The following is a 12292-nucleotide window of genomic DNA, read 5'->3' on the forward strand; positions in this document are numbered from 1 at the left end:
TTCTCCTGCCTCAGCCGGGTAGCTGGACTACAGGCGTGCACCATCACGCCCAGCTAATTTTTGTATTTTTAGTAGAGATGGGGTTTCACCATGTTGGCCAGGATGGTCTTGATCTCTTGACTTCATGATCCGCCCACCTCGGCCTCCCAAAGTGCTGGGATTACAGGCATGAGCCACTGCGCCCAGCCTAAATGATCTTTGTAAGACATACACCTTACCACTTATAAAAAGAGAATTAATACCACAATTTTAAAAATCACATAATTTAAAGAAATAGCAATAAAAGAAATAAAGAAGGATATTTCATATTTAACCCACCAAGAAGACACAACAAAAAATATCATGGAAAACATTTATAAAAATTAGATTCAAGAACTTTCTCTTCCCTAGAACTTTGCTTATTTCATTGCTCTGTACATTTCTTTGAACAGTTTGAGATTTTTGTCCTTCATATGTCTCTCTATATTTAAATATAGTATAGTACTAAAATATATTTTGGCTTAAAAATGATTCAGGAACTTTGAGGAATCAATACTAAGAAAGACAATGAAAGATAAGCAAAGCCAGGGGCCTCTTACTCCCTGTAGAGAGAGGAGGCTAGATCACAGCAACTCCCATGCATGCACAATGCGTTCATTAGCATATAGTGCTACAGGGTGCAGGGGAAGGAGCTAGCTCTCATTAGAAGGGTTCAGAAGGTTGGGCGCGGTGGCTCACGCCTGTAATCCCAGCACTTTGGGAGGCCGAGTTGGGTGGATCACGAGGTCAGGAGATCCAGACCATCCTGTCTAAACAGTGAAACCCCGTCTCTACTAAAAATAGAAAAAATTAGCTGGGCGTGGCCGGGCGCGGTGGCTCAAGCCTGTAATCCCAGCACTTTGGGAGGCCGAGGCGGGTGGATCACTAGGTCAGGAGATCGAGACCATCCTGGCTAACACGGTGAAACCCCGTCTCTACTAAAAGTACAAAAAAATTAGCCAGACGTGATGGCGGGCGCCTGTAGTCCCAGCTACTCGGGAGGCTGAGGCAGGAGAATGGCGTGAACCCAGGAGGCGGAGCTTGCAGTGAGCCGAGATGGCGCCACTGCACTCCAGCCTGGGCGACAGAGCCAGACTCCGTCTCAAAAAAAAAAAAAAAAAAAAAAAAAAAAAAAAATTAGCTGGGCGTGGTTTCGGGCGCCTGTAGTCCCAGCTACTCCGAAGGCTGAGGCAGGAGAATGGCGTGAACCCGGGAGACAGAGCTTGCACTGAGTGGAGATGGTGCCACTGCACTCTAGCCTGGGCGACAGAGCGAGACTGTCTCAAAAAGAAAAGAAGGGGTCAGAAAAGGGCTTTCTGGAAGAAGTGGTATGGTAGGCAGAATTCTAAGAATGACCTCCCCGCTCCCTCCGCCCCGCCAATGTCCCCTCACCCTCGTATAATCTCTTCCCGTTTGAGTACGGACAGACTCTGTGGATATGAAGAGATATCACTCCCAGGATAATGTCTTACATGGCAAAGTGAGGGCTTGTCCAGGTGGGCCCAATCTAATCACATGACTCATTTTAAAAGCAGAGTTTTCTTCAGCTGGTGGTAGAAGAAGTCAAGGAAATTCAGTGTGAGGGGGGATTTGACTTGAGGAAGGTCCTCTGTTGCTGAGATGGAAAAGGTCCCTGGAAAGACCTGGAGCAACTCCTGCCCAACAGCGGGCAAGGAGACAGGGACCTCATTTCTACTGAATCTGGCCAACAACCTGGAGGAGCTTGGAAGCAGATTCTTGCCCAGAGTCTCCAGGTAATAGCACAACCCAACTGACACCTTGATTTCTACCTCGTGAGACCCTGAGCAGAGAACCCAGTTGAGCCTACTATGACTTCTGACCTCTGGAACTAAAAGGTAATAAATGGCTGTTGGTTTAAGCCACTGTCCTAGTCCACTTGTGCTGCAATAAACAGAATACCTGATACTGGGCATTTTATAATGAACAGAAGCTTTTTGGCTTACAGTCCTGGAGGCTGGGGAGCCTAAGGTCAAGGCGCCAGCAGGCTTGGCATCTGGTGAGGCCATTCTCTTCTTCCAAGATGGTGTTTTTCCTGCTGTGTTCTCTGGAGGGGAGGAAGGCTGGATCACATGGCGGAAAGTGGAAAGGCCAGGAGAGCGAGCCCACTCCTGAAAACCCTTTTATTAAGACATTAAACCCACCCATATGTGTGAAACCCTCGTGGCCTAATCACCTTTTAAGGCCTTACCTCCCAATACCATTACAATGGCCGTTAAATTTCAACAGGCATTTTGGAGGGGACAAAGATTCAAACCACCGCAGCTGCTACATTTATGGTAATTTGTTACACAGCAATAGAAATGAGTACAGGTTACATTTGAACTGTCCCTTGAGGGATGGATTGCATTTCAAAGTATAGAGAAGAAGAGGAAGAAGCTCTTTAGACAGAGCTCCAATTGGGCATTTTTCAGTCTCCTAGATAATGAAGCCTTCATTTATTGAGTGCTTGCAATTTATAGAGCATATCTATGATATCATTTTACTAACTTCTCACAACTCTGTGAAATATTTATTATATCTCCACTTTACAGAGAAATAAACAACAGTCAAAAAGGTAAAGTAACCTGAGCCAAGTTAGTGGAGGAGGCTGTAATTAAAACCCAGGTCAGTTTCATTCCAAATCCCACCCTTTTTACTACATAAGCCTGACCTACCTGGGGGCTTGGTGGCTGAAGAGTGATATGCCACCGAGGAGACAGGTCAGCACTGTTTCCTTTGGGTCAACGGCCCTTAATCTCTTACCTCAGCCTCGTGATTACATGGGGTTTTCCATGTTTGTTTTCTAGAACAGAGTCAAATGGTTTGCTTAAATCATTGCAGATCAATAAACACGTTAACTCTAAAACAAGTGCACACAGTGTGACATTACCTCCCATCTCCACCTGTTTACTCTGTTTCCTGAGATGACTCATCCTAGCTGGTCCTCATCCATGTATCAGCCTGCCAGCAACCCTGAGGGCATTCATTCACCCTCAGTTGTACCTACTTCCATCCTCTGGGATTTCCACTTGAAAGACCTTCTGCCTCAGTGTCCACACATTGCAGGCTCACTCTGTGAGGGGGTTGCAGTGGGACTAAAAGGGGATCTCCACCATGTGATTGTCTTTTTTTTTTTTTGAGGCGGAGCCTCGCTCTCTCATCTGGGCTGGAGGGCAGTGGCACCATTTCGGCTCTCTGTAACCTCCCCCTGCCCTGGTTCAAGCAATTCTCCGGCCTCAGCCTTCTGAGTAGCTGGGACTACAGGTGCGCACCACCATGCCCAGGTAATTTTTGTATTTTTAGTAGAGACGGTTTCACCATGTTGCCAAGGCTGGTCTCAAACTCCTGAGCTCAAATTATCCTCCCACCTTGGCCTCCCAAAGTACTGGGATTACAAGTGTGAGCCACCGTGCCCGGCCTACCATGTGATTTTCTAAGATGTTCTTAGGGAAACATATTCACACACACACACACACACACACACACACACACTCCTGCAACGTGGTGTATATAATGCTGGAAGTAGCGTCAGAGATTAGGCATTAGTGAAGAGTCCCTGAGTGAGACCAGAGAAATGTGAGCTAAAGATTCATAATGGAAGCAATGGTCAAGGGTAATGACCTGGCCCACTCTTTGTAGCAAAGCTACCTACTACTTTTGTGAATGAAGCAACTGGAAATCAGACAACGCCGGGCATGATGGCTCACACCTGTAATCCCAGCACTTTGGGAGGCCCAGGCGGGAGAATCATTTGAGCTCAGGAATTTAAATGAGGGGAATACAAGGTGTGTTGCAGGAGTTTGTGTATTCTCTAGAATGTTTCTGTAGAATGACTTGCCCTTCTTCACTGTGGCTGCAGAAAAGACAGTAATCAGGGCTTCTAGAAAAGGGGATCATGTTGCTTTCCCAACATAAATAACAGACTAGTCAACTTGGAAAAAAATTCAGGGAAGCTGAAATCCTTCCCAAGCTCCTGATTTAATCAACAGTATTAGCTGAGACAGTAATCCACCCCTCAAATTCTGCAACATTTGACTCTGTATCATCTGCCAGGCCAACAGAAATAGCCCTTGACTGTAGCATTAATCAACGGCACTAAAGCCATCTAAAAAAAGAATGTGTCTGAGAGGAACTGAGCTAGGAAGAAAAAATAGATACAAGGAGACAAAAGTTGTCGAAAGCATCTAGCCCCGTCCGAGACTCTGCATCTGGGGTCACTGAACACACAGCCCCGTCACTGGAGAAGTATTCTCTGCTGAGAAGAGATTTTCCATCAGGCTTTACGGGAACGCAGGTGACGTATACCCTACAGCCATGGTGCTTTCCTTTCCGGTTTCATGCTTAGCAAAGAGCCCTCTGATTAATGATGCGTCACCCGAGAGCCCGTCCACTAGAAATGATGGCAATGTTCCTCCTAAGGGCACAGATTGGTGACCCAGGCAATCTGTCACTGTAAGGGGAAATCCCTGTTGCAAATCATTCTGCTGGAATTCTGATGAACATGTCTACAGTCAGCTCAGCACACAGCAGGGTGGATGAAGTTTCCTTCATGAAATCCAGGCTCAGAACCTAAAAAAATCCAAGGGTTGAGCCAAGCCCTTCAGAGGTATTTGGGGCCCTGTGTGTGACCCATTAGATTGCCATTAGTAACAAGCCCACCCCTCCAAAGAACCCCTTTCCACATCAGAATGCTTAGAAGTCACACCTGTGTCGTAATGATACCATTTGCAAAGACCTTGCTTGGAAGTAATTTTTCAGTATTTGGTTGCCCATGAAAATATCTGATTTTTTTTCCTTCCACCCACAATGAATGTAGTCCATAACACATACAAATACACACACACATTTTCACTCTTCCTCCTGCTTTACCAGTTTTACACATCTCTGCATCAGGACCCAAACTTGAGCACTCAGGATCTCAACCACAGTTGAGATCTCTTCTTCACTGTCATCCCGGCACATCAGTTACTTAAAACAACCCAATTTCAAGAACTGATAGACCTTCATTTCTGGACACACCAAAAACAAGCAAATTCCAGAGGATCAGCTTCAGGGTGGCAGAATGGAAGGAGTAAAAGCCAACCACGGGGCCAGGTGCAGTGGCTCACACCTGTAATCCCAGCACTTTGGGCGGCTGAGGTGAGCAGGTCACCTGAGGTCAGGAGTTCAAGACCAGCCTGGTCAACATGGTGAAACCCCGTCTCTATTAAAAACACAAAATATTAGCCAGGCATGGTGGCGGGCGCTGGTAGTCCCAGCTACTCGGGAGGCTGAGGCAGGAGAATCACTTGAACCCAGGAGGCGGAGATTGTGGTGAGCCAAGATTGCACCACTGCACTCCAGCCTGGGTGGCGAGTGAGACTCCGTCTGAAATAACAACAACAAAAAGCCAACCATGGGATCTGTGGCACAGCTCTCACTTCACCATTAGCTCACCCAGGACTGGCAAGGGAGTGCCGACTGGAGAATCTTATCCTCTGTTCCTTAGCTGTTTACATGTATAAAGCCTGAGGGCTTTGCACCTAATTAGGGTTTCAGAGCTTTGTTTTTCTCTCAACTAATTACATTTGCCTTGTGGGGAAGAGCCTCTGTCCAGGAGGCATTGCTCTCTGAAAATCTGTCTCAGCCCAGCAACAGGTGCAAGAAGGTGAACAGCTCCTCTCCCCACCAATGCGGTGAGATGCCGAGCCAGGCCCTGGCTTCTTCTTGCTCCTCTCCTTTCATTATCTCTAACTCCAGTGTCAGCCCTCAAGCAGTCCCCTGCTTGGTCACCCCTGGCAAGGTGGGGAATGTTCTCTTAACCTGCAGCTTTCTCCTTCGGGAACAAAGCGCAGCCTCTTAGCAGCTAGCAATCAACTCCTGTGCTCGGGGCCTTCCAGCCAGGCCTTCTGCAGTGCACCCTGGTAGGGGGTAAATTATCCTGAGCTTGGAAAATGTGACTGAAATCACCTCTGACAGAGGGAAATGGGTTTTCATAAAAGACGTTTCCTCACCTTCGGTTGCAACTCAATTCAACTGACCATTTCCCACCCTGGATCTCAAAAGAAATTTCTGCTTTGCTTCTGGGTATGAGCCTGGGTGATAATGAAAGGTACTTAGGAAGCCAGGCCTATTGAAGCAGCGTAGCCCTCAGAGGGGCATGGCTGACTTGGCTAAGAGTAGGACAGGGTGTGGGGTTGAGGAATCCATGGGGACTCAGGGCATCCTGTCGCAGACACAGGAGCTGACCCAGCCACAGGGTCACAGGACAGCCTGTGTCACCACAGTCTCTGTGCAGAGTCCAGAGTTCACAAATGAGATAAATGGACATTTGCTGACTGGGGTAACTCAGCATCTATTCACCCTATTTCTGGGAAAAGCCTCAATTTACATGTGGGAATGGACCACCCCCTTATTGTTATAGGAGTTATTAAGAAATTATTTTAGGCAGATAGAGAGGAAAAGAGGTCCTTGGGAAGTTTTTGTTTCTTTTAAAGCAGATCCAGAAACCTTTCTTGTCTAACAGGAGAGCGCCAGCTCTAAGAGCCACTGGCAAGCTTTGATATGCAAATGCAGGCCACTGGAAACTGAGTCCACCCAAACATGGAGATTCCAGGTTTCTTCCTTGCCCCAACAGGTGGCTGGCAACATGGCCACCCCCACATATCCCCACGTGTGTAGAACATCATGGCGCCCTGCATTTGCATCTTAAAAGGCTAGAGTGTGAGGGCCAGCTTTTTCGCAGGCTATGTGAATGACATGCCTGGTCAAACCAATCCTCTGAGCCCTATGCAAGCCAGCACCGCCTCCTCCAGCCTCCTCATATAACTAGCTGATTACACCACACACACACACGCCCTCCCCCCACATCCCTTCTCCCCACCGGGGTTTTCTCTCTATTCAAATCCCCTCTCCCTCTGTCTCTGTACTGGGGAGCTGTTTTCTTCTTCCTTCCTTCTTTCTTGTATATTAAACTTTTTGCTCCTTAAAACCACTCCAGGTGTGTCCGTGTCATTTTATCCAAACGTGTGCTAGACCAAGAACCCTGGTGTTCCTCCAGTCATCTGAGCCATATCATTATCTCATTCTGTTTTTGATGGCACTAACCACCAGCATACCCTGCTCCATCAGAACACTCATCCTCCTGAGCTCTGTGAATGGCTCAGGATGCACAAGTGAGAGAAAAATGTAGCCAAGTGAGGAGGCAGAGAGAAACTGCCTCCTGGTAACACAGTGTGCGCCCCTGGATCAAGCCATGCCTGAAGGCAGTTTATTCTGAACTTTTACAATAAGTGCTCTTTTTGTTTAAATCATTTTGGATTGGGTTTTTGTTCACTTGTAAGCAAAAGCACACTATGATAAAAGGGGATACAAGACAAGTATCACAAATCCAGAAATGGGAAGGGCCCAACCCCAGAGCCCAGGCTAGTCAGGGAAGTGAAGAAACAGACAGCATCTGAGATGCCTATCCCCAGTATCCAAGTGCTAGGTCCATGGTCTTTGAGCCTTAAGATGCAGGAGATCCCTGTAGGGAACTTCACAACAGTGTAGATTCCCACTCATTCCCACAGCCAATTCTCATCCTTAAGTCTGGAAGGGGAACGAGAGGTTTGGTTTCTAACCAATATCCAGGCAATTTGGAAGCAGATAACACAGATAATACTTTGAGAAACACTTCCCTACACTCTGAGCTGGGAGTTAAAGGACAGGGTTCCAGTCTCTGCGGTGAGGCAGTGGCAAGAGCTCCGTGGGCGGGAAGAATATTAGGCCAGAGCTTAGAACAGGACTGCAGAAGCAAGCATGGAATGGAAGCACATCTGGTGATCTGTGACATACAATGAGCCTGCAGATCACAGGCAATGATTTTTGGAAACTCATCACACAGTAGTTTGAAGCAGCAGGAACGATTTGATCCAAAGTGCCATGTGAACACTTCCGAGTCTACAAATGCTTTCATAGGTCAACCTAAGCTGTTCCTCCCAACCAACCTGTCTGGCAATTAGAAATTAGGAAATTAAAACTCAGAGTGTCTAAATAGCATGCACAAAGCCACACAGCTCACTGGTTCAGTAGCCTAGACCTGGGTCCCACTCTGTCTGACACCAAACCTCACACTTTTCAAATAATTCTCCCTTCCACTGGGGGAAGGGCTGGGTCTCAGGAAAGGTCTAAGGGACACACAGTGCGGGGATCAGTGAGACCCTGCTCAGCAGGCCCAGATGAGGGAAGGGGATGCTCCACCTGACTGCGCAGGAAGGCAAGGCCATTTTAACTTTGCAGCATCTTCAACTCATCTGGCTCAAGAAATCCCAGCCCAGCTTGGGGATGGAGAGTGGAGGAAGAGAGGGGCACCCCTGCAAGTGAAGACTAAGCTCTGATTTTTTTTTTTTTATCTTACCCAAATTCCCTATCTAAAGGGTCTGGGGAGTGATGCCCTACAAACCATAAATTCTCATCAGATGGATTTTATTTAACCCTATATATTGTGACTTACTTTCCAACCCGACTCTGTCATAACATTATGAGACAAGGAAGAAAATCAAAATATTTTACCCCAAAACATAGGCTTTTTTGTCCATATCTTGAAATGGCCCTGCAAAGCTGTCCTTTGTGGGGGTAAATTTGTACCTGTAAAGAATCTCTATTAACATAGCTAGATATTTTTCTTCCAGACCCTCCCAATCCTAAAGAGATTAACTGAAAGTCTAGCACTTTGTTTTTTTTGTTTGAGACGGAGTCTCACTCTGTCGCCCAGGCTGGAGTGCAGTGACATGATCTCGGCTCACTGCAACCTCTGCCTCCCGGGTTCAAGCGATTCCCCTGCTTCAGCCTCCTGAGTAGCTGGGACTACAGATGCCTGCCACCACACACAGCTAATTTTTATATTTTTAGTAGAGATGAGGTTTCACCACATTGGCCAGGATGGTCTCAAACTCCTGCCCTTGTGATCCACACCTGCCTGGGCCTCCCAAAGTGCTGGGATTACAGGCGTGAGCCACCGTGCCTGGCCAAGTCTAGCACCTTTTAAAGATCTGAATAGGAAACATTTGCCATCTATTGTCTCTGAGGACAGCCTCTATAAGACTTCAAAAGAACCTTGGTCTCCACCATCTTTTATCTTAACTTGAAAATTTCCTTTCTATGGATCCCAGGTCTTTAGACAAACTCACTGAAATCTACCTATAGCCTGGAAGCGCCCCTCTCCTCCCGCTTTGGTCCCACCTTTCTGGACCAAACCAGTGTATTTCTTAAATGTACTTGATCGATGTCTCATGCCTTTCTAAAATGCATAAAACCAAGCTGTACCCCGACCACCTTGGACACATGTTCTCAGGACCTCCTGAGGGCTATGGCAAGGGCCATGGTCACTCATATTTGGCTCAGAATACATCTCTTCAAATATTTTACTGAGTTTGACTCTTTTCGTTTACAGGAGCAATGGAAATGATTTTCTTTGATCACAGTGTCAGCTCCTGACATTGGGTTGCGCCCATCTGTGCTGTGGACTCTTCCCTCGGAATGAGAGAGGGAGATGGCTCCCAGTGTGGTTGGAAGTCACCCCGCCCCACAACAACACAGTGCAACAGGCCCCGGCTTCACGCCCATTCAGTTCAGGACAAGTTTTTTGGAGTATCTACTCTGGGCCAGGCCCGCAGGATACTAACATGAAATAGAGACAGTTCCTGCCTTTGAAGGGTGGTGATTTACTGGTGGGGAGAAAGGAAGAAGCCCATGAAAAGTCGTGTCTGTAGAAGGTAAGAAGGGGCACAACCGCCATGGCAGGGGAGTCACAAAGGAGAAGCATTCAGCCTGCCGAGAGGTCCCAGGACTTTCCTGGAGGATCAGTCCCCAAACTGACTGTGACAGGGAGCAATACCCAGATAACAGCAGAGGCCCAGAATAAGAAAGAGTCTGTGAGTGGGCAGAATTCCCTCCAGGGTCATGAGGGGAGCTGACTTCTGATTAGGGCATTTCATCCTTCTCTGAAATGCAGCTGAGAACTGGTCAAGCCTCACTCCCTTGCTGAGACCAATAGCAATCCCTGATGATCTCGCCACAGGTCCAGCAGGTGCCCCATCCACACTTTGTCCCCAGCCCCTACCTGGAAGCTCCAAACACCTACCTGAGGGGCCAACTCTGATTCCCAAGGAGGTGACACCTCCTGCCCCTTGTTGATAGAACATTGATAAGGAAATAGGACTGAGTTTTAAGCTTCTTTCCATGTCAAATATTTAAAGGCAATATAATGTTCAAGTTTAAATAATATTTCATGTGTAATTAAACAATCCCTTATTGTTAAATAGATGGGTTCCAATTTTGAACTGCTATAATCTGTGTATGTGTCCTTGATTAAATCCTTAAGAGAAATCCCTAGAAACATTATCTTAGGGTCAAATGGCTTGGATATTCTGTAAACTGCTGATAATTATGGGAAATTGCCTTCCAGGAAGGTTATAACAATTTGCCTGATCCCCAGCAGCAACAGACTTTACAAAGTACTCAGTATCTAATATTTAACTTTGATAAAGATAAGCTTCTCCCTTCTTTTTCACTTAAAATGCTGTGTCCCACCTCACTTTTCAGTGTCTCTTCACACTGACAAGACGGTTGGCTAATACTTCAGAGCTTGCAGAGCATCTTTATACACTTTTAATCCTCCTAACATCCGTGAGAGATGGAGCTTACTATTATCATCCGTGTTTGCAAATGAGGCCCTGAGAAGTTGAGTGATTTCTGTAAGGTCTCAGAGCCAATAGACACTGGTAATGAAATAAAATGCAACGCCCCTTATCTTTGGAGCCCAGTGTTCCTTCCACATAGGTGGTTCTCCACCCAGGCTGCCCAGGAGAATGTGGAATCTCCAGCAGTTCTGACTTAACTGGCCTGGTGTGGATGTCTGTGATGGGTGAACATTCCCAGACCCTTTTAAGAACCTGATAGAAGTGGTGGACCCACTTCCCAGAAAAAGGGACGCACAACAAAATAATTGTCCTGAGTGGGTCTGACAGAATCAAGTGAACCCTTTAAATCTGGATCTAGAGGTCAGAGACTGAGAATGTCAGAGATGCAAAAGAGATTCAGTGCAAGAGAAATCCTCCTACTGGTTTTGAAGATAGATGTTGGCAGCCTGTGTCAACAACCTGAGAGTGGCCTTGAGTTGCTGGGAGCACCCCAGACTGACAAACAGCAAGAAGAATATGGGGACCTCAGTCCTACAACCACAGGAACTGAATTCTACTGACAACCAGTGAGCTTGCAAAGAGGACTTGGAGCCCCAGATGAGAAGCAACCCTGGCTACCCCGATCTCAACCCTGTGAGATCCTAAACAGACAATCCAGCCATGCAACACCCAAACTTCTGACCTATAGAAACCCTGAGATAATAAATGGGCATTGCTCTAAATCACCAAGTTTGTGGTAATTTGTTACACAGTCATAGGAAGTGAATTGACCTGATGTATCTGAGCACCTGCTAGGTTATCATTAAGATTACTCTTCAAAGGTAAAAATTATTTTTCAAAATGTTTCTGCCCTACCTTCCGTGAGCATCTGGTGATGGATAGACACACACACGTCAAGGTAGACTGTGTTTAGGTGGGCATGGTGGTGCATGCCTGTGGTCCCAGCTACTCAGGAGGCTGAAAGAGGAGGATCACTAGGGCCCAGGAGTTCAAGGCTGCAGTGAAGCTGTGATTGAGCCATTGCACTCAAACCTGGGCAACAGAGCAAGACACCAGCTCTAAAAAAAAAAAAAAAAAAAAAAAACTGCTGAATGCTATAAATAAGATTGGAACTTGCTCTGCTTTTACAAGACCACTGTTAGATGACCACTGACAAGAAGACTGAGCTGGTCTCTGTAGGAAGCAGGGGCCTGGGCAGCTCTGGGGGCAGAGGAGACAGGCCTGGGGCAGAGACACCTCAGGGCATTTTCAGAAGACAGCCAAAGCAGCCATTCCAGCTTGCCCAGGTAGATGGCAAGTCAATGGGAAATGATTCCAGGAAGGTAGGGAAAGATGGAATTCTGGAGAGCATTGGACCTCAGATTGGGAGTCTGAACATCTTTCCATATGCATCAGGAAGTCATGGAAAATTCACAGACTGGAGTGACTTTGGCAAAGGTGGGATTTAGGAAGACTGATCAAGGCACGGGATAGACCCATGGATGAATAGCCTTCTGGTCAGTTTGTGCCTGTGGTTTTCTATGCTGAGGAGGTGGGAATGTCCTGGGTGAGTCAGCTGTGGATTTGTGTCCCTGCCTCACCTCACTCCCCACTGTCGTGGATTTGTCGGCTCA

The 12292-nt window shown here is 46.9% G+C and overlaps 1 annotated feature.

The window, feature by feature from the left end:
* Window positions 3984–5183: an enhancer, noted in NCBI's record as "P300/CBP strongly-dependent group 1 enhancer chr1:224075566-224076765 (GRCh37/hg19 assembly coordinates)". NCBI's record gives its function as "activates an origin of replication core promoter dependent on BRD2, BRD4, P300/CBP, MED14 and CDK7 cofactors, with strong dependence on P300/CBP, by STARR-seq in HCT116 cells {active_cell/tissue: HCT116}" and the evidence as "EXISTENCE:reporter gene assay evidence [ECO:0000049][PMID:35650434]".

This window comes from Homo sapiens, chromosome 1 (assembly GCF_000001405.40).
Source record: "Homo sapiens chromosome 1, GRCh38.p14 Primary Assembly".
NCBI classification, from domain to species: Eukaryota; Metazoa; Chordata; class Mammalia; order Primates; family Hominidae; genus Homo; species Homo sapiens.